Genomic DNA, 19,818 nt, shown 5'->3' with positions numbered 1-19,818 from the left:
GGTCAGGCTGGTCTCCAACTCCTGACCTCAGGTGATCCACCTGCCTCAGCCTCCCAAAGTGCTGGGATAACAGGCATGAGCCACTGCGCCCAGCCAAGGGAACCACTCTTGCTCATCCTATGAAGCTCAGTCAGCTCAATGGCCGCCTCTTTCAAGAAGCCTTCCCTGCTTCCCCAACCTCTGGTAGAAGCTTTGCAGCCCCTTCAGCCCAGCTGCACCTGTGCCCATTGGGCATCTGCCTCCAACCACACCAGAAGTGTTCAGTTCGCTTGTGTCCTCGGTGTCCTCGGTTCCCAGGATAGGGCTAGGCATGAGTCAGGCTCGCTAGGTGTTTGTTGACTGAACAATTGATCATCATGAGTTTTAAACAGGAAAGCAGGCCGGGCATAATGGCTCATGCCTGTAATCTCATCACTTTGGGAGGCCAAGGTAGGAGAATCATTTGAGCTCAGGAGTTGGAGACAAACTTGGACAACTGAGCAAGGCTTCATCTCTACTTAAAAAAAAAAAAGTTAGCCAAGCATGGTGGTGCTCTCCTGTAGTCCCAGCTACTGGGGAGGCTGAGGCCAGTGGGATTGCTTGAGCCTGGAAGATTAAGGCTGCAGTGAGCTATGATCATGCCTCTGCACTCCAGCGTGGGTCCAAGATCCTGTGTCAAAAAAACAAAACCAGGCCAGGCACGGTGGCTCACGCTTGTAATCCCAGCACTTTGGGAGGCCGAGGCGGGTGGATCACCTGAGGTCAGGAGTTGGAGACCAGCCTGGCCAACATGGTGAAACCCTGTCTCTACTAAAAATACAAAAAAGCAGCTGGGCATGGTGGCGGGCGCCTATAATCCCAGTTACTCGGGAGGCTGAGGCACAAGAATCACTTGAACCTGAGAGGTGGAGGTTGCAGTGAGCCGAGATCGCACCATTACACTCCAGCCTGGGCAACAAAAGTGAAACTCCATCTCAAAAAACAAAACAAAACAGGAAAGCGCAGAGTCAGAGTCCGGGAGCAGCAACTGCAGCCAGTGCCTCCCGTTCCTCATCCCTCCCACGGTCTAGGGATGAGGATGAGGGGGCTGAAGAGCCAGAAGGATAACAGGGTGAGCATCACAGACGGAGGGAGGCCAAAGCCTGACTTGTGAGGTCAAGGGCTGGGCAGCAGCATTAACACCCGTTACTGCTGCCTTTGTTCTAAGTGGGTCCTTGGGCTGGGGACCTCCCCTATAGGAGTTCAGGCTGAGAACTGGTGACCAAGACCAGAGAAGGGTGTGAAGAGCTGGCTTTCTAGGGTTCCATGGGGTGGGAGACAGGACAGCTATAATCCTGGGATTTATTCACTTACATGCTCACTACTGCGTTTCTTTTTTTTGTTTGTTTTTTTGAGACGGAGTCTCGCTCTGTCGCCCAGGCTGGAGTGCAGTGGTGCGATCTCGGCTCACTGGAACCTCCACCTCCTGGGTTCACGCCATTCTCCTGCCTCGGCCTCCCGAGTAGCTGGGACTACAGGCACCCGCCACCACGCCCGGCTAATTTTTTGTATTTTTTAGTAGAGACAGGGTTTCACCATGTTAGCCAGGATGGTCTTGATCTCTTGACCTCGTGATCCGCTCGCCTCGGCCTCCCAAAGTGCTGGGATTACAGGCGTGAGCCACCACGCCCGGCCTACCATGTTTCTTTATTAGGATTCCTCCCAGAGTCGTGAGGCCACACTTTGTCACCCTGCCCAGAGAGTAAACCAAGGGGCTTCTCTATCTGAAAAGCATGCTGCTGCCTTTATTGAAATGCAGTGGACAGACCATCCCCAGAGTGGTGCCTGGCCCTGTGGTTCTAGAGCCCAGTTATGGGCCCCAGCCAGTCTTGTCCTGTGTGTGACTGATAGTTAAGGCTCCATGTCAGCCCTCAGAGGTGGAGGTCCCAGTGTGGGCCTCTTGTGATGGTAGGGGATGTGGGAGGCCACGGGGAAAAGGAACTGGAGGTGTGGGGCCCAGTGGCCTTCCCTTTGATCCTCTCCTCCCTTCCCTTGAACTAGAGCTCCTGAGGCCAGGAGGTTTGGGTCTGTTTTTGGTCAGTGCTGTGTCCCTGGCTAGCACCACAGCATCTGCTTCACAGTGGCCACTCAGTAAACATTGTTTGTTTTGTTTTGCTTTGTTTTTTTGAGACAGAGTCTCACTCTGTCGCCCAGCCTGGAGTGCAGTGTCACGATCTCGGCTCACCGCAACCTCTGCCTCCCGGGTTCCAGCAATTCTCCTGCCTCAGCCTCCCAAGTAACTAGGGCTACAGGTGTGCACCACCATGCTGGGGTAATCTTTTTGTATTTTTAGTAGAGACAGGGTTTCACCATGTTGGTCAGGCTGGTCTCAAACTCCTGACCTCAAGCAATCCACCTGCCTTGGCCTCCCAAAGTGCTGGGATTACAGGCGTGAGCCACTGCACCCGGCCGAGAAAACATTTGTTGAGTGAATCAATGAACTTCCTCCACCCACTCACTCATTTGTTCATTCAACTGCCTACTCTGCAGATCCCAGCTGGTACCCAGTAAGGGCTGGGCCATGGGCACAGGGGCCTCACTGCCTGAGAGGAGCTCCCTGCTTGGTAGGAGGGAGACACTGATCCAGTGGTGTCTGGGACCTTGAAAGGGACCCAGTGCAGAGCAGGCGAAGGCAGGGAAAGTCACTGGGGGTGCAGAGGACGAGGGAGGCATTCTGAGGAGGCAACTCCAAGTGGAAGGCTCACTCGGGCTGGATAGTGCAAAGATGGAGGTTCAGGTCTAGGTTGTGCACCAGCTGTGCACTAAGTCATCCCCCCTGGGCCTCATGTCTTCATCTCTAATTGGCAATGACAATTCTCAGGCTGAGGCTTGAGTGGAAGATACTTAGTGGAGCACCCACCACTGTGGCTGGCACAGAGTGGGTGTTTGCAGGGCGGGTCCTTAATGCTCTAATATGGGGCAAGGAGCCCAGCGAGTCTTGAAGTCCGTGGGACATGAGTGCAAGTCCCATCCTTCACCTGGGACAAGTCTCTCAGCCTCCCTATCTGTGAAATGGGGTGATAGCAGCACCCCTTTCCTGCCTTTTTTTATATTTCCTTTTTTTGAGACAGAGTCTTGCTCTGTTGCCCAGGCTGGAGTGCAGTGGCACGATCTTGGCTTACTGCAAACTCCACCTCTCCGGTTCAAGTGATTCTCCTGCCTCAGCCTCCTGAGTAGCTGGGACTACAGGCGTTCGCCCCCATAGCCCGCTAATTTTTGTGTTTTTAGTAGAGATGGGGTTTTGTCATGTTGGCCAAGTTGGTCTGGAATTCCTGACCTTAGGTGATCCACCCACCTTGGCCTCCTAAAGTGCTGGGATTACGGGCGTGAGCCACCGTGCCTGGCCTATTGTGGTATTATTACATACTATAAAACTCACATTTTTTTTTTTGAGACAGAGTCTCACTTTGTCGTCCAGGCTGGAGTGCAGTGGCGCGATCTCGGCTCACTGCAAGCTCCACCTCCCAGGTTCACGCCGTTCTCCAGCCTCAGCCTCCCGATTAGCTGGGACTACAGGCGCCTGCCACCACGCCAGGCTAATTTGTTTAGTAGAGATGGGGTTTCACTGTCTTAGCCAGGATGGTCTTGATCTCCTAACCTCATGATCCACCCGCCTCGGCCTCCCAAAGAAAATTCACTTTTTTGAAGTGTACAATTCAGTGGGTTTTTGTATGTTTGCATAGTTGTGTGACCATCACTACTATCTAGTGTTAGAATATTTTCATTATCCCAAAGAAAACCCAGACCCCATTAGCAGACACTCCCCATTCCCCACCTTCCTCTGGCAACCATTAATCTACTTTCTGTTTTTCTGGGTTTGCCTATTCTGGTTATTTCATATAAATGGAATACGTGGGCCAGGCACGGTGGCTCACGCCTGTAATCCAAGCACTTTGGGAGGCCAGGGTGGGTGGATCACCTGAGGTCGGGAGTTCGAGACCAGCCTGACCAATATGGTGAAACCCCATCTCGGCTAAAAATACAAAATTAGCCAGGTGTGGTGGCAGGCACCTGTAATCCCAGCCATTCCGGAGCCTGAGGTAGGAGAATTGCTTGAACCCAGGAGGCAGAGATTGTGGTGAGCTGAGATCATGCCATTGCACTCCAGCCTGGGCAACAAGAGCGAAACTCCATCTAAAAAAAATAAAAAATAAATGGAATATGTGGCTTTTTGTGTCTGGCTTCTTTCACTTCACATAGTAGTTTCAAGAATTCACCTATATTGGCCGGGCGCGGTGGCTCACGCCTGTAATCCCAGCACTTTGGGAGGCCAAGGTAGGCGGATCACAAGGTCAGGAGATTGAGACCATCCTGGCTAACACGGTGAAACCCCATCTCTACTAAAAATACAAAAAATTAGCCGGGCCTGGTGGCGGGTGCCTGTAGTCCCAGCTACTCAGGAGGCTGAGGCAGGAGAATGGCGTGAACCCAGGAAGCGGAGCTGGCAGTGAGCCGAGATGGCGCCACTGCACTCCAGCCTGGGCGACAGAGCAAGACTCCGTCTCAATTAAAAAAAAAAAAAAAAAAAAGAATTCACCTATATTGTGGCATGCATCAGTACTTCATTAGTTTTTATGGCTGAATAATGTTCGACTGTGTGGATGTACTGCATCTTGTTATTCATCAGTTGACGGCTTTTGTGTTGTTTCTGCATTTGGCTCTTATATATAGTGCAGCTATAAACGCTGCGTACAGATTTGTGTGTGTGTACATATCTTTTCAATTATCCTAGGTATGTATACCTAGGAGTGAAATTGTCAGGTCATGTGATAACATTTTGAGGAACTGCCAGACCATTGTCCACCAACAGTGCATGAGGGCTCCAGTTTCTCCGTATCTTTGCCAACACTTGTTACTGTCTTTCTCGTTTTAAAGAGCTATTATTATTATTACTATTTTTGAGATGGAGTCTCGCTCTGTCGCCCAGGCTGGAGTGCAATGGCACAATCTCGGCTCATTGCAACAACTGCCTCCCGGGTTTAAGAGATTATTCTGCCTCAGACTCCCGAGTAGCTGGGATTAGAGGCACGTGCCACTACACCAGCTAATTTCTTTGTGTTTTTGTAAAGACAGGGTTTCACCATGTTGGCCAGGCTGGTCTTGAACTCCTGACCTTGTGATCTGCCCACCTTGGCCTCCCAAAGTGTTGGGGTTACAGGCGTGAGCCACCGCGTCGGGCCTATTATTATTATTATTATTTTAAGATGGAGTCTCCCTCTGTCACCCATGGAGTGCAGCAGTGTGATCTGGGCTCTCTGCAACCTCCACCTCCCGAGTTCAGGTGATTCTCCTGCCTCAGGCTCCTGAGTAGCTGCGACTACAGGCACGCGCCACCACGCCTGGCTAATTTTTATATTTTTAGTAGAGACGGGGTTTCACCATGTTGTCCAGACTGGTCTCGAACTCCTGACCTCAGGTGATCCACCTGCCTCGGCCTCTCAAAGTGCTGGGATTACAGGCTTGAGCCACCGCGTCCGGCCCCTAAAGAGCTATTATTTAACCTTCTGCCCCAGCAGCTGGGAGGGATGGTGGTGGCAGAGTGGCGAGGAGCGGGCACTGCGCAGTTCACCTGAGCCCCAGGCGCTCGCCGCGGGACCCACCAGCACGTCCCCTCCTCGGCAGACTCCCTCCCCGGGGTCACGTGGAGGGCGACTGCGGGGATAAGCAGGGATGGCAAGGGGAAAGGAAGGGCGGGCCCCAGGCGGGGGATCCCCGGACACGCAGTGCTTTCCCGCCTGGCCCCGCCCAAAGACGTGGGCAAACAGAGGCCACGCCCTTCCTGGGAGCCAGCCCCGCCCATACTCCGCCCCAAGGACACGCCCCCACTTCGGGCGGAGGCGGAAACCGGGCGGGGGACGCTGGTGCGAGGAGGTCGAGGAGGCGCCTTGGCACCCGACTCTGGCATCCCGCACGTCCGACATCAGCCCTGCCCTCCTTCTCAGGGGCTTCCATTCATTTTGTGCCAAAAGGGAACTGCCGCCCTCGCCCCCAAACTTGTAGCTTTGTGGATGGAGGGTGTGGGGGAGGCCGTGTGTAGTGAAAGGACCACCCGGCTGAAGACGGTCCTGGGGGTGGAGGGCAGGAGGGAGCGAGAAGGACAGTTCTGCTCCTGGGAGCCTCTCGTTCCTGGGCGAGGGTCTGGGGACCCTGGATGAAGTTTTAGGATCTTTTACAATGACGGTCTGGGGCAGAGAATAAAATTTTGCAGGGAGCAGATTGAGGGTCTGGAGGACTGGGTTAGGTGGGCTCTAGGTACCCAGGACGATCTCGGGAGGCGCACAATGAGAATCTGGGGGCTCCAGGATTACGGTGTGGGTGCACAGGATGAAATTCTGGGGGCGCAGATTAGGTAGGACCTAGGTGAGCAGGATGACATTTTTGGTGAGCGTCTGGGGGCCCCCGGGTGAGTCTGGGGGCCTGGCATCAAGGTCGGGGCCCCAGGATCGAGCACTGGGGGACCCTGGTCCGGCGCCGGGAGGCGGCTCCTGGCGGCGCCGCGGGGGACCGGGTAGGGGCCTGTGGCTGGCCGGGGGCGGAGAAGCGGGGGGTCGGGGTCCCTCCCCCTGGCGCTGGCTCAGGAATCCGCCGAAGGGCGGGCGGAGGCGCCGGGGTGGGCCGCGCCGCGGCAGGCGGGCGGGCGGGGGGCGCTTCCTGGGGCCGCGCGTCCAGGGAGCTGTGCCGTCCGCCCGTCCGTCTGCCCGCAGGCATTGCCCGAGCCAGCCGAGCCGCCAGAGCCGCGGGCCGCGGGGGTGTCGCGGGCCCAAGTGAGTGGCTGTGACCGTCCGTGGGGGAGGGCGTGGGCCGGAGTCTCGGCCGAGTCCGCGGCAGCGTAGCGCCCACAGAGGCCCGCGCTCCTCGGCCTTCGCCGCAGGGGCGCGGGGCGGGGGCGGGGTGGCCGGGGCGGGTGGGCCTGGGACCCGGGCCTGGGACCTGGGCCTGTGAGGAGTCGGCCCCCAGCCCTGGGAGGCCCCGAGGCCCAAGCACGGTCCTGAGCGGGCAGTGGCGGGGGCTGGGCTCGGGCTCCCGGTACAGGGAGTTGAGGTGCCGCGGGCAGAGGCCCCTGACCCGTGTCCACCATCTCGCAGCCCCAGGATGCTCCCCTGCGCCTCCTGCCTACCCGGGTCTCTACTGCTCTGGGCGCTGCTACTGTTGCTCTTGGGATCAGCTTCTCCTCAGGATTCTGAAGAGCCCGACAGCTACACGGTGGGGACAGTGAGGGCCGCTGGCCTGGGACAGGAAGGGTAGGGAGGAAGAGACCGGGACCCAGGGTGACTGCTGCCGGGGAAGTCTTCCTCCCCTGGCTGGTGGAGAGCTGGGGGCCATTGTTTGGAGCAGGCCGGAGGGTGGCCAGGCTCAGGCCCTAGTCTTGGCCTGGCCAGTTGGAGGAGATCTTAGGGTGACCACTGGCCACTTCTGGTTCCCTTCCAGGAATGCACAGATGGCTATGAGTGGGACCCAGACAGCCAGCACTGCCGGGGTGTGTGTGCCTGGGGGACCAAACACCCCCAGGAACCCGGAAAGGGATTGATAGCTGCTTTCCAAGGGACAGCCCCACCTCCAAGAACTGCCGTGGGAGCCCAGCAGCCCGTTCTATGCCCAGCTCTGCTACACAGAGGCCAGCTCTGGCTCTCTGGAGGCCAGTTGAGCTAGGGGTGGCCTCATCCTCTCCCAGAAACCCAGGAAACCTTGTCCCTACCCCTCAGAGGAGCTGGATCCTGTACGCCTTCTCTGAACCACTCTCCTGTCCCAGCTCTTTGTCTCATCACAACCTGGGAGGGTAGCGTCCCCAGGGGTGGGTAAGGAGGCCCCCCATCTTGGGCTGAGCTAGGGCTAGGGCCGTGGGGAGGGATAGAGACCCACTTGCAGGCCGAGAATGAGGGCAACAGTGGGAACAGCTGCCCCATCTCCAGCCTTGGCCAACCCTGGGGAGGGGTCCTGAGCAGGCAGACTTAGCTTGTTGAGCAGAGTGGGAAGGCTTTGCTGGGGCCACACATCTCAGAGAAGGCCGAGCTGGGTTCCTGCCTCCGCTCCCTCCAGGGCCAGCCCAGGAGACTGGCTGTGCCCAGCAGGCCCCTCTCTGCAGATGTCAACGAGTGTCTGACCATCCCTGAGGCCTGCAAGGGGGAAATGAAGTGCATCAACCACTACGGGGGCTACTTGTGCCTGCCCCGCTCCGCTGCCGTCATCAACGACCTACACGGCGAGGGACCCCCGCCACCAGTGCCTCCCGCTCAACACCCCAACCCCTGCCCACCAGGCTATGAGCCCGACGATCAGGACAGCTGTGTGGGTGAGTGGGGACTGCTCTGGTGCCTGGCTTCCAGTCCTCTCACCAGGCGTCTTAAACTCAGACCTCATGTTCCTCCCCAGCTCAAAAGGGCCACTGGTGATGTCCACACCCTCATCCAGACACTCATGTTGTTTAGGACCTGCCGCAGGTGGCCCCAGCTTGTGTGCCACTGCTCCAGCCAGCTCCGGGCCCCTCCCCTCGGTTGCTGCAGAGACACTGCAGGAAGTCTGCCTTCCAGTGTCTGTCCCCTGGGAGCCACAGGCCTTGGAGGAAGGACAGTCCAGGAATCAGTGTTGCTGGGGATGTTTGGACAGGACCTTATTTCCTGTGCAACCCCCAACATGTGGTTTTAGAGGTTAGGGGTGCCTTTCCTGATGGCTCCAGGCTGGTGAACTCTTACGCGTGCTGTTGAGAGAACCGAATACAAGTGTTGGAACTATCTGTCATGTTGGGTGGTGTGCGGGATCCCAGGCAGGGGCTGAGTGGTGTCTCTCGCAGATGTGGACGAGTGTGCCCAGGCCCTGCACGACTGTCGCCCCAGCCAGGACTGCCATAACTTGCCTGGCTCCTATCAGTGCACCTGCCCTGATGGTTACCGCAAGATCGGGCCCGAGTGTGTGGGTGAGTCCAGGAAGCAGCTTCTGTAGTCCCGGCTTTGTGTCCCTGGTCTGGCCCTTGCCCTAGCACCTGACCCCCATTCAAGCCAGGCTTCACCCCCGGCCCCTGCCACCTCACCCTCCGTCATCAGACACAGAGGACTGTAGCGGGGAGTGTTTGGGAGGTGTCCTGGCTGACCCTGCCTAATTCAGCTCCTCGGACACAGGATTATGGGTGGTGAAGCCTTGAGTCCCAGCCGGCTCGAGCCCACCTGCCCTCTGCCCTCTGCCCTCCGCCCTCCTTCTCCTGCCTCTATCCCTAGACATAGACGAGTGCCGCTACCGCTACTGCCAGCACCGCTGCGTGAACCTGCCTGGCTCCTTCCGCTGCCAGTGCGAGCCGGGCTTCCAGCTGGGGCCTAACAACCGCTCCTGTGTTGGTGAGGCTGGGCTGGGCCAGGCTCCTGGGTCCTGGGCAGGGAGGTGTGAGGTGGGGGCGCTCCCTTCTTGACCAGCCCAGGTAGAGTGGAGGCTCTGGGCTCCTCCTCCGCTTTCATCCCTCCTGTTTTTCCTGGCACCCCCAGATGTGAACGAGTGTGACATGGGGGCCCCATGCGAGCAGCGCTGCTTCAACTCCTATGGGACCTTCCTGTGTCGCTGCCACCAGGGCTATGAGCTGCATCGGGATGGCTTCTCCTGCAGTGGTGAGAGCTCCATCCCTGCTGTGTACTCCTCTGTGGACCCCCAGGCCCTAGCTATGCCGTGCCTCCTGCCACACAGTTCTCCATTTGAGGCCTCCGCCTCCTGTCACTGTGCACCCAGCTGCCTCCTGGGTACTCGACCCCGGCTGGCTGTGGAGCACTCCCAGGCTAGTGGGGGAGGCACAAGGAGAGGCAGCTACGTCCTTACTGAAGCCTACTGGTGAGACTGAGGATGTGGGTGCCACCTGTCCCACATATCAGGCTCACCTGCATTTACCTGCATTTGAATTTTGCACTAGGACAAGTCACTCCTCTCTGAGCCTGTTTCTTCTTCTATAAAATGGGTTGTCTTGAGGATTAGGTGAGAGTGTGATAGATGGGCTCCAGCAAGTCTCAAGCTGCAGTGCTTTAAAGTGAATGAACTGCCACTTAATGAGAACCTGCCCTCGTAGTGTATTCCCTGACACACTTGGCCTCCTTCCTCTCAAGAATCCTAGGAGGTATGATTTTCTCCTTCCTCTACAAAATGAGGACATTCATATCTCCCTCCACGTTTGTTGGGAGGATTACATAAAAATAATCACAAAGTCCTGGGTAAATGGTGACTTTCATGATTCAGCTAAGAGAGGTTAAGTGACCCGCCCAAGCTCATACAGCCAGGATGAGATGGGGCCAGGGCTGGATCCCAGACTTCTTACACCCTGTAAACTGGCATGTACCCCCTATGTTATGCTTTGCTGCGGGATGAGGCCTCACTGCTACCTGGCAGCATGAGGGGAACAAGAGAAAGGAAATGTTCTGCCTGTGAAGCTCACAGTTAGTTGGAGGTGACCACTGGGTGCTCAGGTTGACTGTGGGTTGCAGGAATTGGGCGTTACAGCACAAGCCAGACCCATAAGACTCATCTAGTCTAACACACTCATTTTACTGATTGGGAAAATGAGATTCCCCTAGATCAGCTGGTGGGATTCACACCCAAGCCTCTAGATTCCCAGTAACTTATTTAGTGTTTCTTCCAGTTCTGGGCAGAGAGAAGTCTGTGAGCTGCGGCAGCCTGGGCAAACTTTCTTTGAACCCTCCATCTCCCGGCTGAACTTGTGGCTTGTCTCATCCCCCTCTGTCTTCCTACATTCAGTCTAACATGGGGCTGGGCCTTCTTGGGAAATGTTTGTGGGACTGAATGGTGAGGAATGCCCTTGACCCGGGGTCCCCATCCCCATGCTTCCTCAGATATTGATGAGTGTAGCTACTCCAGCTACCTCTGTCAGTACCGCTGCATCAACGAGCCAGGCCGTTTCTCCTGCCACTGCCCACAGGGTTACCAGCTGCTGGCCACACGCCTCTGCCAAGGTACAGGTTGCCCGGGTGGGATGGGCAGGACGGTGTCAGGAGCTGGCAGCCTGACGCCCCCGATTCCAGCCCCTCTCCCCTGGCACAGACATTGATGAGTGTGAGTCTGGTGCGCACCAGTGCTCCGAGGCCCAAACCTGTGTCAACTTCCATGGGGGCTACCGCTGCGTGGACACCAACCGCTGCGTGGAGCCCTACATCCAGGTCTCTGAGAAGTGAGTCAATTCGATGCCAGGCCCCCACAGAAACTACGTCTCCCAGGGGGCTTTGGGGCTGACTGGCATCTATTCAGACCAGCGAGTGCCCCTGAGGGATGATGGGAATCATAGTCCTTCATGAAAACCAGTCACAGGGGTAGAAGGGTCCTTTTGGGATTCCCTCCCTTTGTAGGGTAGGAGAAATTGGGGGGACGGGCAAGGAGCTCATTTGTGTCCCCCACCTCGGGGTCTCTAGCCGCTGTCTCTGCCCGGCCTCCAACCCTCTATGTCGAGAGCAGCCTTCATCCATTGTGCACCGCTACATGACCATCACCTCGGAGCGGAGCGTGCCCGCTGACGTGTTCCAGATCCAGGCGACCTCCGTCTACCCCGGTGCCTACAATGCCTTTCAGATCCGTGCTGGAAACTCGCAGGGGGACTTTTACATTAGGGTAAGGTTTCTGCAACCCTCAACTGACATGCACAATCTAAAACTGAACTCCAGGACGCCTTAAGGGGGAACTCGGCCAGGCTGCTATGCCCCACCCCTCCCCCAAAGCCCCGCCCCCGGAGGCGGGGTTTCTGCAGGAAGACGGGGGTACTCTAAATGCAATTCTAACGGTTAAATGCAATTCTAACGAAGCACTCGGACACGGGAGTTTGAGTCCTGGTACTGGTTTTCCATATTGATCTCAGTTTCTTCACCCACAAACCAAGGGAATGGCGTGTGCAGGGCCCTGGGGTCAGAAAGTCCACTCCTTGCTAGTGGATCTGTTAGGTGGGAGGGGGCCAGGGGCGGCTCACAGTGAGCTGCTCACAGTGACTGGCAGCCGCATGCATGGGTCTCAGCAGGAGAAGGGGTTTGTCTAGTACCAGCCCTTCTCTTTCTTTTTGAAATTGAATGCTCTGAAGGGAGTCTGCTCACTTTGGGTCACCAAAGGTCCCACCAGTCCCAAGAGCCACATGTGGCCTTGAATCGTCAGTTAGCCTGGGTCAGACAGAGCAGGCTGGAGAGGGTGAGAAGAGCCCCAGCAGGAGATTTCTGAGGGCAGGAGCCTGGGTGGGGAGGAGAGACATCGAGGGTGTCAAAGAGCTGCATGAGAGGCTGGGGTGGCAGCCTGGCCAGGGCTGTTCCTCTGCCTCACGGCCACGGGGCAGGGAGGTGACGCTGGGGCAGGGGCCTAGCACACAGGCTGACACAATATATATGTCCCCCCACCCACTGCCCTGCAGCAAATCAACAACGTCAGCGCCATGCTGGTCCTCGCCCGGCCGGTGACGGGCCCCCGGGAGTACGTGCTGGACCTGGAGATGGTCACCATGAATTCCCTCATGAGCTACCGGGCCAGCTCTGTACTGAGGCTCACCGTCTTTGTAGGGGCCTACACCTTCTGAGGAGCAGGAGGGAGCCACCCTCCCTGCAGCTACCCTAGCTGAGGAGCCTGTTGTGAGGGGCAGAATGAGAAAGGCAATAAAGGGAGAAAGAAAGTCCTGGTGGCTGAGGTGGGCGGGTCACACTGCAGGAAGCCTCAGGCTGGGGCAGGGTGGCACTTGGGGGGGCAGGCCAAGTTCACCTAAATGGGGGTCTCTATATGTTCAGGCCCAGGGGCCCCCATTGACAGGAGCTGGGAGCTCTGCACCACGAGCTTCAGTCACCCCGAGAGGAGAGGAGGTAACGAGGAGGGCGGACTCCAGGCCCCGGCCCAGAGATTTGGACTTGGCTGGCTTGCAGGGGTCCTAAGAAACTCCACTCTGGACAGCGCCAGGAGGCCCTGGGTTCCATTCCTAACTCTGCCTCAAACTGTACATTTGGATAAGCCCTAGTAGTTCCCTGGGCCTGTTTTTCTATAAAACGAGGCAACTGGACTGTTAGTGGTTTTCAATCTTTTCTTTTAGGAAGTTTTATTTATTTTTATTATTTTTATTTTCCCAATGAGCCCTCTGCACTCCTAAGGAAATTTTATTTGATGAGGACCAACTGGTGACATAAAATAGATTCCAAGCTGCAATGCCCCACTGACTCCATCTCCCTGACCAGGGAATTCCAGGTGCTAAGCAGCTTTGTTTAAAAACCACTGGACCAGATGGTATCCCTGGTTCCTGCGTATTTCACAAGGTCCCCAGGGCTAGGCATCTTCTACATGACACATATGGCTGCAAACACTTAGATTCTAATTGTACCCCAAAAGATGTTGTTAAAAGGCTGGCTAGCCTGGGTTGGGGGACAGACGGGGGCTGGGGGCTGTTTCACGGCATAAGCTCAGGTCAAGGGGCCGTAGCTGCAGTAGAGCTGGGATAAGGTCCTGCTCAGAGCAGGCCCCAGATTCCTGCAGGAAGAGAGGCAGCGAGGGTCACGCCCTGGGCCTAGGGCAGCCCCAGTCCCTGCCACTCCCTCCAGGTTCCGTCTCTTGCCCTCACCTCTGTAGACGCCCACACTTAATGGTGCTCAGCAGTGTCTCTTGTTCCTTGGGGGTGGCACAGGCATCATAGGCGGCCAGGAGGCTGGGGGGCAGGGGTTTGAGTTTCTGAGGCTGACAGTGGCCCACTCTGGGCCAGCACCATGAGGGGCCAGGCAGAGGGGTCAGCATGGGATGGAAGAGTTGGGACACTGCCCCACTTCCTGAGCTTGGCACTCAAGGCCCCATGCCAGCCGGGCTGTCCTCCCTCCCTGTGGGAACTCTGGGGCAAAACCAGCAAAGGCTCCAAACCTTCACCCTCACTCCCCTTAATGGCCCAACCCCTTCTCCAGGAAGCCTCTTCTCCACCAGGTGGGACGTCTCCCTCCCTCCTGTGGCCTCCACTACCTGGGACACTATGTGGGCCTGCTGGCTTCCTCCCCACTTGACCTCCACGAGCACCCTGGGATCTGTCTATCTCTGGTCTGCAGAGCCCACACAAGGCCAGGCCCCCTCCACGAAGCATGGATTAAGGTGAATTCCATGCATGGAGGGCAGGGGCTGAGGACACCTAAGGGCCCTTTAGGGCCTACCTGGCAGGGGTGCTGTATCGATCCACCAGGGCTGCTGCCTTCTCCCCACTCACTCCGCGCACCTGCATCAGCTGCCGGGCAAACACTTCTCGCACCGACTGGGCCTGGGTTCGGGAAAGGGCTGGATCAGTGGGGGTCTGGGCCAGGCCATGTCTGAGAAGCTAGGCAGAGACAGTACCTTATTCTTGATGGCTCCTGCGTTGAAGTCACTGAAGGTGAGGAGTGAGCAGAGAGGGTTTGGAGAGGTCATGGCCCCTGATTCAGGGTTCCCAGGGGTTCCCCAGGGGCGGCTGCGTAGGGTGTGGCCCTGAGGGAAGAAGGGACTGAGGCCAGGCTGGAGCTCGAAGGAACAACTCCAGCCAGCCCCTGCCCAGTCCTCAGCCTTGGGGGGCCAGCCTGAGAAATGGGGATCTCACCCACCTTGCTTCTTTTGGGGATGCACAGGGCCCAGGCAAGGTGAATTCCTTGTGGGCTCTGTCCCGACACTGGGAAAGGGGCCTCTGCTCACCTGGTAGAGTCTCTGCAGGCCCCGCGTCAAGAGGGCCAGGTAGGCGGCTGACTCCTTAATGTCTGCTGTGCGCTTCACAAAAAAGCCATCAATGACCTGGGGAAGAGGACCCAAGAGAGGGAAGGTGGCTCCTGGCCTAGACCATGAACCATGGACCACAGGGGCCCCTGCCTGCCTGCCTGGCCCTGCCCTCCCAGCTCACCTGAGTGTTGGTGACAGCCTGCAGCAGTGTGCTCTCAGGAAGGCTGAGGTTGTGGACGGAACCATGCTCTTCCACCAGGTATACCCGGCGCTCCAGACCACAGCGCTTCAGCCGGAACTAGGGAAGTGTACAGAGTGGACAGGGAGGGTCAGGCTGGATGACCACATGCCTGGGCATCCATGATGTCACACTCAAAATGGTGCCGGGACCCTGTTCCCACCAGTTAGCCTCTGCATCCTCCCTAGCCTCTCCACCTGCCTCACAGGGGCCTCCGCAGCTTTGCTCATGCTGACACTCTTGTCTAGAAAGCCTTTTCTCCATCTCTCAACACTGCCCATCCTTCAAGCCTCCCCTGGGCCGGCACATGGCCTCTGTGACTAGGGGTCCACCCAGCAGCAAGTACCAAGGTACAGCCTCTGTATTTCCACTCCTGGAGGTTTATGCCTTGTTTATCCAAGACTGCAGGGGCTGGGTACCCAAGAGGTCTTTAAAATGCTCCTGACCTCAGCCCAAGAATGCAGGTACCTGGCTTCCTACTGTGCGCCTGGATGGGCCTGTGGGGGTCTGATCCTGGAGCAGCCACAGGGTGGGTGTGGCTGGATTCCAAAGGGCTCTGCCTCAAGGAGGCTGCCAGAAGTGCCCCTGGATTGCTCTGGGCTGAAAACGGGGCTTCGGAGCAGGCAGGGAAGCCTGGCAAAGCCAGCAAAATTACCTTCTGCTCCCGGAAGCGGCCGTCGATGATGCTGCTGCAAAGGTCATCCAGTCGCTTGCGCTCCACAATGTGATCCAGTACCAACTCCCCAGGGTTTGCTGCTGACAAGCCAGCCGTTAGCTTGCGATCCCCTACCCACCAGGCCCTGCCCCTGGTGCCAGCCTGTCCACGGCCCTTCACCTGGGTCTCTAGGATTGGTCTCCTGGGCCACCCACACAAAATCTCCAACGTGCAGCTTGCGCACCGTGTGGGTCACGTGCAGCCGCTGTAGCTCTCGGAGCAGCTCCGGCCTGTGCCCGCCCCTGGAGTGGCAAGGAGGGAAGCCTAGATCAGAGCAGGGCAGTGCCTACCCCCCAGCCTCCTCTGATCATCTCCCTCGTTTCTCCCCACCTCACTCACCCCCGGGTCTCGCCAATGTCCACACACAACAGCACCCTGTACTCTCCAGGCCTCAGCTCCAGTGGCTGCTGCTGGACCCCTGCTTCACTGGCACTAAGTGGGGGGTGTTGGTATGTGAGGCCAGAACCCCTTGTGCCAGGGCAGTTGCCCCACACCCATGCCACCCGACACCCACCACCCACCCACAGTAGGGAGGCAGCCACAGTTCAGCTGCAGGTGATGGGTTGGGGCGGGGCTTTGGCCTCATTTCCCATCCCCTCCTCCCTGTTTTCCCCACTCCTCTGCCCTCCTCCTCACAGCTCTGCTGAAGCTGCTCCTGGCACTGCTGTCTCCTCCCCAGGGGGCTCCTTGGGCCCGATGCCCACATTCAGCAAGCTCAGGCCTTCTGACTCGGCCAACTTCTGGGCCAGCTCCAGGCCCTCTGGGGTCAATGAGTACCTGGGAGGCAGAGGGGACAACACAGCTCTACCTTCTTCACTCATTCCTGGCAGGCTTTCCTGCCTGCCCCCAGCTGGGCTGGCCTCACCACCCCCTTGGCGCCCTGCACAAATGACCCCAGTGGCTCCTGCTCCTCCTGGTCTTCTTGGCTCTTAGAGCAGTTCCTTGGGCCTGCTCAGCGCCATTCTCAGGTCTGCAAGAAGTGTGTCTCAGACAATTTCCTTCCTCCTGTCTTCACTAATGCTGTTTCCTCCTCCTCGGAATACTTATCCTGCATCTCTACCCGCCAAATCCTAAAACGTGTCAAATGCTATCTCCTCTGAAAAGGCTTTCTCCTCCTCCAATAACCACCGCACCCTCCCACCCCCGCTGCTGCGGTTTCACACCCTCCAGGTATTCCAACAGTGGGGGCTCCTGAGGAAAGGCCCACCCCCCCCAATCTCAACAGCATCAGCTCTGGGAGTTGTTGGGTGACTCTAAGGCCCTACTAAGAAGTTCACTCATGCTCTCCTGTATCTCCTGCAGTTGGCCCCACCTGGCTGGCTGGTGTGTCCTGAGGACCAGGTTCCTGTGAAGGAGGGAGCGGAGGGCTGGCCAGGGTCGAGCACTCCCAGGGGCTACCTGTGGATCAGAAAAGAGACCCTCAGAGAGCACCTGGTACCACCACAAGTCCATGTTCCCTGTGTCCCCAGCCATGGGCCACACATGGGCCCACTGCAAGAAAAGGCAGTCTTTGGTGGGCCCCAGAGCCACTTGGGCCTGTCCTCCCTGATCCCTGTGCTCACCCTGGGGGACTTCTGAGCACACCTCTGCAGCAGCTCCTCCTTGGTTAAGAAGTGGTGACCATTAGGATTCTGAAACCAAGGTAGAAAAGACAGGGTAGGCTCAGTGCCAGGGCCCCTCCTCATCCCGCTCAGGTGGCTGGGATAATCTTTGCCTGCCCTGCCTGGGCCAGGCCCCTCGGGGAACCTCCCACCCCACTGCCATGGTTCCGCCTCCCGGTGTAGCCCAGTGCTCACCAGGTGCTCCCGGTAGAGCACCAGCAGTATCACTCGGGCTCCTGAGTGCCGAGCTGGCCAGTAGCTGCCAGAGCCTCCCGCTTTGGGCTGGGCAGGAACCTGAAAGGTACAGAGGAGTTCTGAACATGAAAGCCAGCCAGTCATCTTTGAATAAGTCCCCAGCAGGCTTTGTGGCCCTGGGTAAGTCACTCAGTTGTCTCTCAGTTTCCTTCTCTGTAAAATGGGCCAGGTGATGGGATGATCCGCTGCAAATCTGGGATAAAACAGCAGGCAGTTTCGGGGCAGTGGGTGGGGGTGTCTGCCCAGCCTGGCCTCACTTCTACCATGCGCTGCAGGACAGGTGTAATTAGACAGGAAAACTCAATAATGGTGACCCCGTAACTAACTGAGCTGGGATCCTTAAGTAGCTTGATCATGGAATTCTCTCATTGGCTGTTACCAATATTTCTATTCACAGGTTAAAATACTAAGTCGAAAAGAGGATAAGTCATTTGCTCAAGGCCAGGCATCACTGGTGAGATTTGGACTCAGGCTTGCCAAATCCCCCAAGCCAGAAAATCATACTCCCGCACTCCCACTTTGCCTTCCACTCCCCTTGCCCCTTCCTCACTGGCATGGAAGAGTCCTGGACTTCCGCAAGTCGCCCCTGCGGGGCTGGACTGTTCTCTCCAGATGGTGAGTCCGGGGCATGGTCACCTGCGGGAGAGAAAAGAGTTAACTCCACACTCCACGAATCCGGCAGCTGCGAGGATCTGGGATGCAACCTACTCAGATGGTTACGTGAGACCGGTGAGGGAGGCTCAGGGAGCGCCAGCCACTAGCCCTAGGCCGAACGGCAACTGGGACAGGAGTGGGGAGCTTAAAAGCCAAGGGCTCCCAGGAGAGTACGGAGGCTCCACCTGGGGGAGGTGGGGGATCACCGACCCCTTTCCGAGGCGCTCACCGCCCGATGTTCGGTGCCGCTGCAGCCGCTCGTCCAGCATCCGGCAGAGCCCGTCTCCGAAGTGCTGTAGGATCTTAGCTTCCTTCCCGCTGCGCAGCGGCAGTGGGTACCGTCGGAGGGAACGCAGCGCCTGGCCGGGCAGGGGTAGGGTACCTGGTCAGGGCAGGCCTGACCTGGCCAGCAGCTTTTCCCATCGGGCCACGCCAGGACCCACCTTCTGAAATACGAAGCGCGTGCGGCGCCTGCTGCGGGTCGCCTCGTCCCGCCACTCGGTCAGCCAGCGAACGAAGAGCGGGTTGGGACAGGCAGGCAGCGGGCGCTTCCGGCCCAGGCGGACCGGGGCCGCCATGAGCCCGAGGGCGGGTCCTCCGGCGCTCCACGCCCGCGGGACTGGGACGCCGCCAGTTCTGGAGTCGGGATTCGAACACCTGGCCCAGGGCGGGGCGGGGGAAGAGGGAGACCGAGGGCAGGACCGTTGAGATCACGGGGCCCCAAACACAGGGGGCACTAACGAGAGGAGAGCCTGCGGCCGCCCTCCCACCCCTGCGCTGCTCTAAGTGGTTGGTCAGGGGCGCTGTCTCTAACGATCTTTTCCCTTGGCTCCACTCCAGCCAGCCTTTGAGACGCGCCCTTTCCCAGCCCCCGGAGCCTGGACCGGCTCCTTCCTGTCACCCCAGATTCGAGAGCGGGGTCTTTGTGTAGGCGAGAGGAAGGCGGACAGCGCCCCCTGTGACGGGGAGGACTGGCTGGGCGGCGCTTAACGGACTAACCTGAGCTTGGCGGCTCTAAGGTCTCTTAAGATTGTCAGCTTCAGCCTCAAGCTTGAAGGAGGCTGGAGATGGAGACTGGTCTTGAAAAGAGTCCAGGAGAGGCGGGGGCTAGGAGACAAACGGGTGCAAACGTATTGGTGGGAGGGACACCCAGAAATGGGTGCCGGGGATGAGGACACAAAGGTAAGGCAGGAGGAGCTGCAGGACCCTTGGAGGAAATGGTGATCCTCATCCCCGGGATACAGGGCAAAGAGTGTGTGGTGGAGAGGAAGTCGGGGACGTGCCGAGAAGGCCCAAAATAGAACTCGGAATGTCGGGGGTCAGAGGCCTAGAGGAAGGAGGACTGTAAGTAAGAGGTGCTTGGGCATCCTGGCAGTTGGGGAGGCCTGAGATGGGCACGCGGTTGGGTTTGGGAGCGGAGGAGCAGGCTGCGGGTTAAGAAGCCCAGACACAGGTAGAGGGGAGAACACTTCGTCATTTTTGTGGCTAATCGGAAGTGGGAGACCCTCAGGGAGGTTGAAGATGGAAACCCTACAAAGGGCTTCAACCTGAGAAGCCTGAAAGACACGTATAGCTGAGTTGGACACAGGCGACCCGCCAGGGTTTGAAGCAGCACCCGGCCTCTAGCTGCTATGCCGGAAGTCGCAACACGCAGGTCTCCAGCCTGCGAGGAAGGGAGAGGTGGG

At 58.0% G+C, this 19,818-nt stretch overlaps 2 protein-coding genes across 11 annotated transcripts, besides 8 other annotated features; one reads left to right on the top strand and one right to left on the bottom strand.

Annotated features, from left to right (window-relative positions):
• Window positions 5,603-5,662: a silencer, noted in NCBI's record as "silent region_3563". NCBI's record gives its function as "represses an Ori minimal core promoter by ATAC-STARR-seq in GM12878 lymphoblastoid cells {active_cell/tissue: GM12878}" and the evidence as "EXISTENCE:reporter gene assay evidence [ECO:0000049][PMID:35858748]".
• Window positions 6,665-13,024, top strand: EFEMP2 (EGF containing fibulin extracellular matrix protein 2). Of its 2 annotated transcripts, NR_037718.2 has the most exons (12): window positions 6,665-6,782; window positions 7,104-7,221; window positions 7,447-7,495; window positions 8,102-8,308; window positions 8,807-8,929; window positions 9,228-9,344; window positions 9,489-9,608; window positions 10,836-10,955; window positions 11,044-11,170; window positions 11,409-11,604; window positions 12,386-12,620; window positions 12,753-13,024. NR_037718.2 is itself a non-coding variant. In NM_016938.5 (11 exons), the coding sequence occupies exons 2-11, from the start codon at window positions 7,111-7,113 to the stop codon at window positions 12,545-12,547; spliced, it is 1,332 nt and encodes a 443-aa protein (NP_058634.4). In that variant the 5' UTR covers window positions 6,665-6,782; window positions 7,104-7,110; the 3' UTR covers window positions 12,548-13,024. The 2 variants fall into 2 exon arrangements, 1 of the variants encoding a protein (NP_058634.4); NM_016938.5 differs by having other exon boundaries at window positions 12,386-13,024.
• MUS81 (MUS81 structure-specific endonuclease subunit) lies at window positions 11,812-19,791 on the bottom strand. Of its 9 annotated transcripts, none has more exons than XM_011545269.2 (18): window positions 19,681-19,791; window positions 19,133-19,240; window positions 18,577-18,790; window positions 18,363-18,492; window positions 18,030-18,115; window positions 17,420-17,518; window positions 17,186-17,254; window positions 16,936-17,021; window positions 16,260-16,400; window positions 15,963-16,055; window positions 15,744-15,865; window positions 15,564-15,664; window positions 14,852-14,968; window positions 14,650-14,745; window positions 14,320-14,448; window positions 14,142-14,245; window positions 13,571-13,654; window positions 13,026-13,479 (listed from the first exon to the last, which is right to left on the bottom strand). In XM_011545269.2, the coding sequence occupies exons 3-18, from the start codon at window positions 18,709-18,711 to the stop codon at window positions 13,413-13,415; spliced, it is 1,659 nt and encodes a 552-aa protein (XP_011543571.1). In that variant the 5' UTR covers window positions 18,712-18,790; window positions 19,133-19,240; window positions 19,681-19,791; the 3' UTR covers window positions 13,026-13,412. The 9 variants fall into 9 exon arrangements, 8 of the variants coding, with proteins under 8 accessions (XP_011543571.1, XP_011543572.1, NP_001337212.1 ...); XM_011545270.2 differs by having other exon boundaries at window positions 15,564-15,661; NR_146598.2 differs by lacking the exons at window positions 13,026-13,479; window positions 19,133-19,240; window positions 19,681-19,791 and adding an exon at window positions 11,812-12,208 and having other exon boundaries at window positions 14,320-14,350; window positions 15,564-15,661; window positions 18,577-19,032.
• Window positions 13,610-14,111: an enhancer, noted in NCBI's record as "H3K4me1 hESC enhancer chr11:65632825-65633326 (GRCh37/hg19 assembly coordinates)". NCBI's record gives its function as "activates a minimal SCP1, AML or CMV promoter by ChIP-STARR-seq in naive H9 embryonic stem cells {active_cell/tissue: H9 hESC(naive)}" and the evidence as "EXISTENCE:reporter gene assay evidence [ECO:0000049][PMID:30033119]".
• Window positions 17,264-17,777: an enhancer, noted in NCBI's record as "H3K4me1 hESC enhancer chr11:65629159-65629672 (GRCh37/hg19 assembly coordinates)". NCBI's record gives its function as "activates a minimal SCP1, AML or CMV promoter by ChIP-STARR-seq in primed H9 embryonic stem cells {active_cell/tissue: H9 hESC(primed)}" and the evidence as "EXISTENCE:reporter gene assay evidence [ECO:0000049][PMID:30033119]".
• Window positions 18,360-18,449: a silencer, noted in NCBI's record as "silent region_3562". NCBI's record gives its function as "represses an Ori minimal core promoter by ATAC-STARR-seq in GM12878 lymphoblastoid cells {active_cell/tissue: GM12878}" and the evidence as "EXISTENCE:reporter gene assay evidence [ECO:0000049][PMID:35858748]".
• Window positions 18,470-19,009: an enhancer, noted in NCBI's record as "NANOG-H3K27ac-H3K4me1 hESC enhancer chr11:65627927-65628466 (GRCh37/hg19 assembly coordinates)". NCBI's record gives its function as "activates a minimal SCP1, AML or CMV promoter by ChIP-STARR-seq in naive H9 embryonic stem cells {active_cell/tissue: H9 hESC(naive)}" and the evidence as "EXISTENCE:reporter gene assay evidence [ECO:0000049][PMID:30033119]".
• Window positions 18,620-18,779: a silencer, noted in NCBI's record as "silent region_3561". NCBI's record gives its function as "represses an Ori minimal core promoter by ATAC-STARR-seq in GM12878 lymphoblastoid cells {active_cell/tissue: GM12878}" and the evidence as "EXISTENCE:reporter gene assay evidence [ECO:0000049][PMID:35858748]".
• Window positions 19,290-19,379: an enhancer, noted in NCBI's record as "active region_5016". NCBI's record gives its function as "activates an Ori minimal core promoter by ATAC-STARR-seq in GM12878 lymphoblastoid cells {active_cell/tissue: GM12878}" and the evidence as "EXISTENCE:reporter gene assay evidence [ECO:0000049][PMID:35858748]".
• Window positions 19,510-19,559: an enhancer, noted in NCBI's record as "active region_5015". NCBI's record gives its function as "activates an Ori minimal core promoter by ATAC-STARR-seq in GM12878 lymphoblastoid cells {active_cell/tissue: GM12878}" and the evidence as "EXISTENCE:reporter gene assay evidence [ECO:0000049][PMID:35858748]".

The sequence above is a fragment of the Homo sapiens genome, chromosome 11, assembly GCF_000001405.40.
Source record: "Homo sapiens chromosome 11, GRCh38.p14 Primary Assembly".
In the NCBI taxonomy this organism is placed as follows: domain Eukaryota; kingdom Metazoa; phylum Chordata; class Mammalia; order Primates; family Hominidae; genus Homo; species Homo sapiens.
This window is presented reverse-complemented; position numbering and strand designations above follow the sequence as displayed.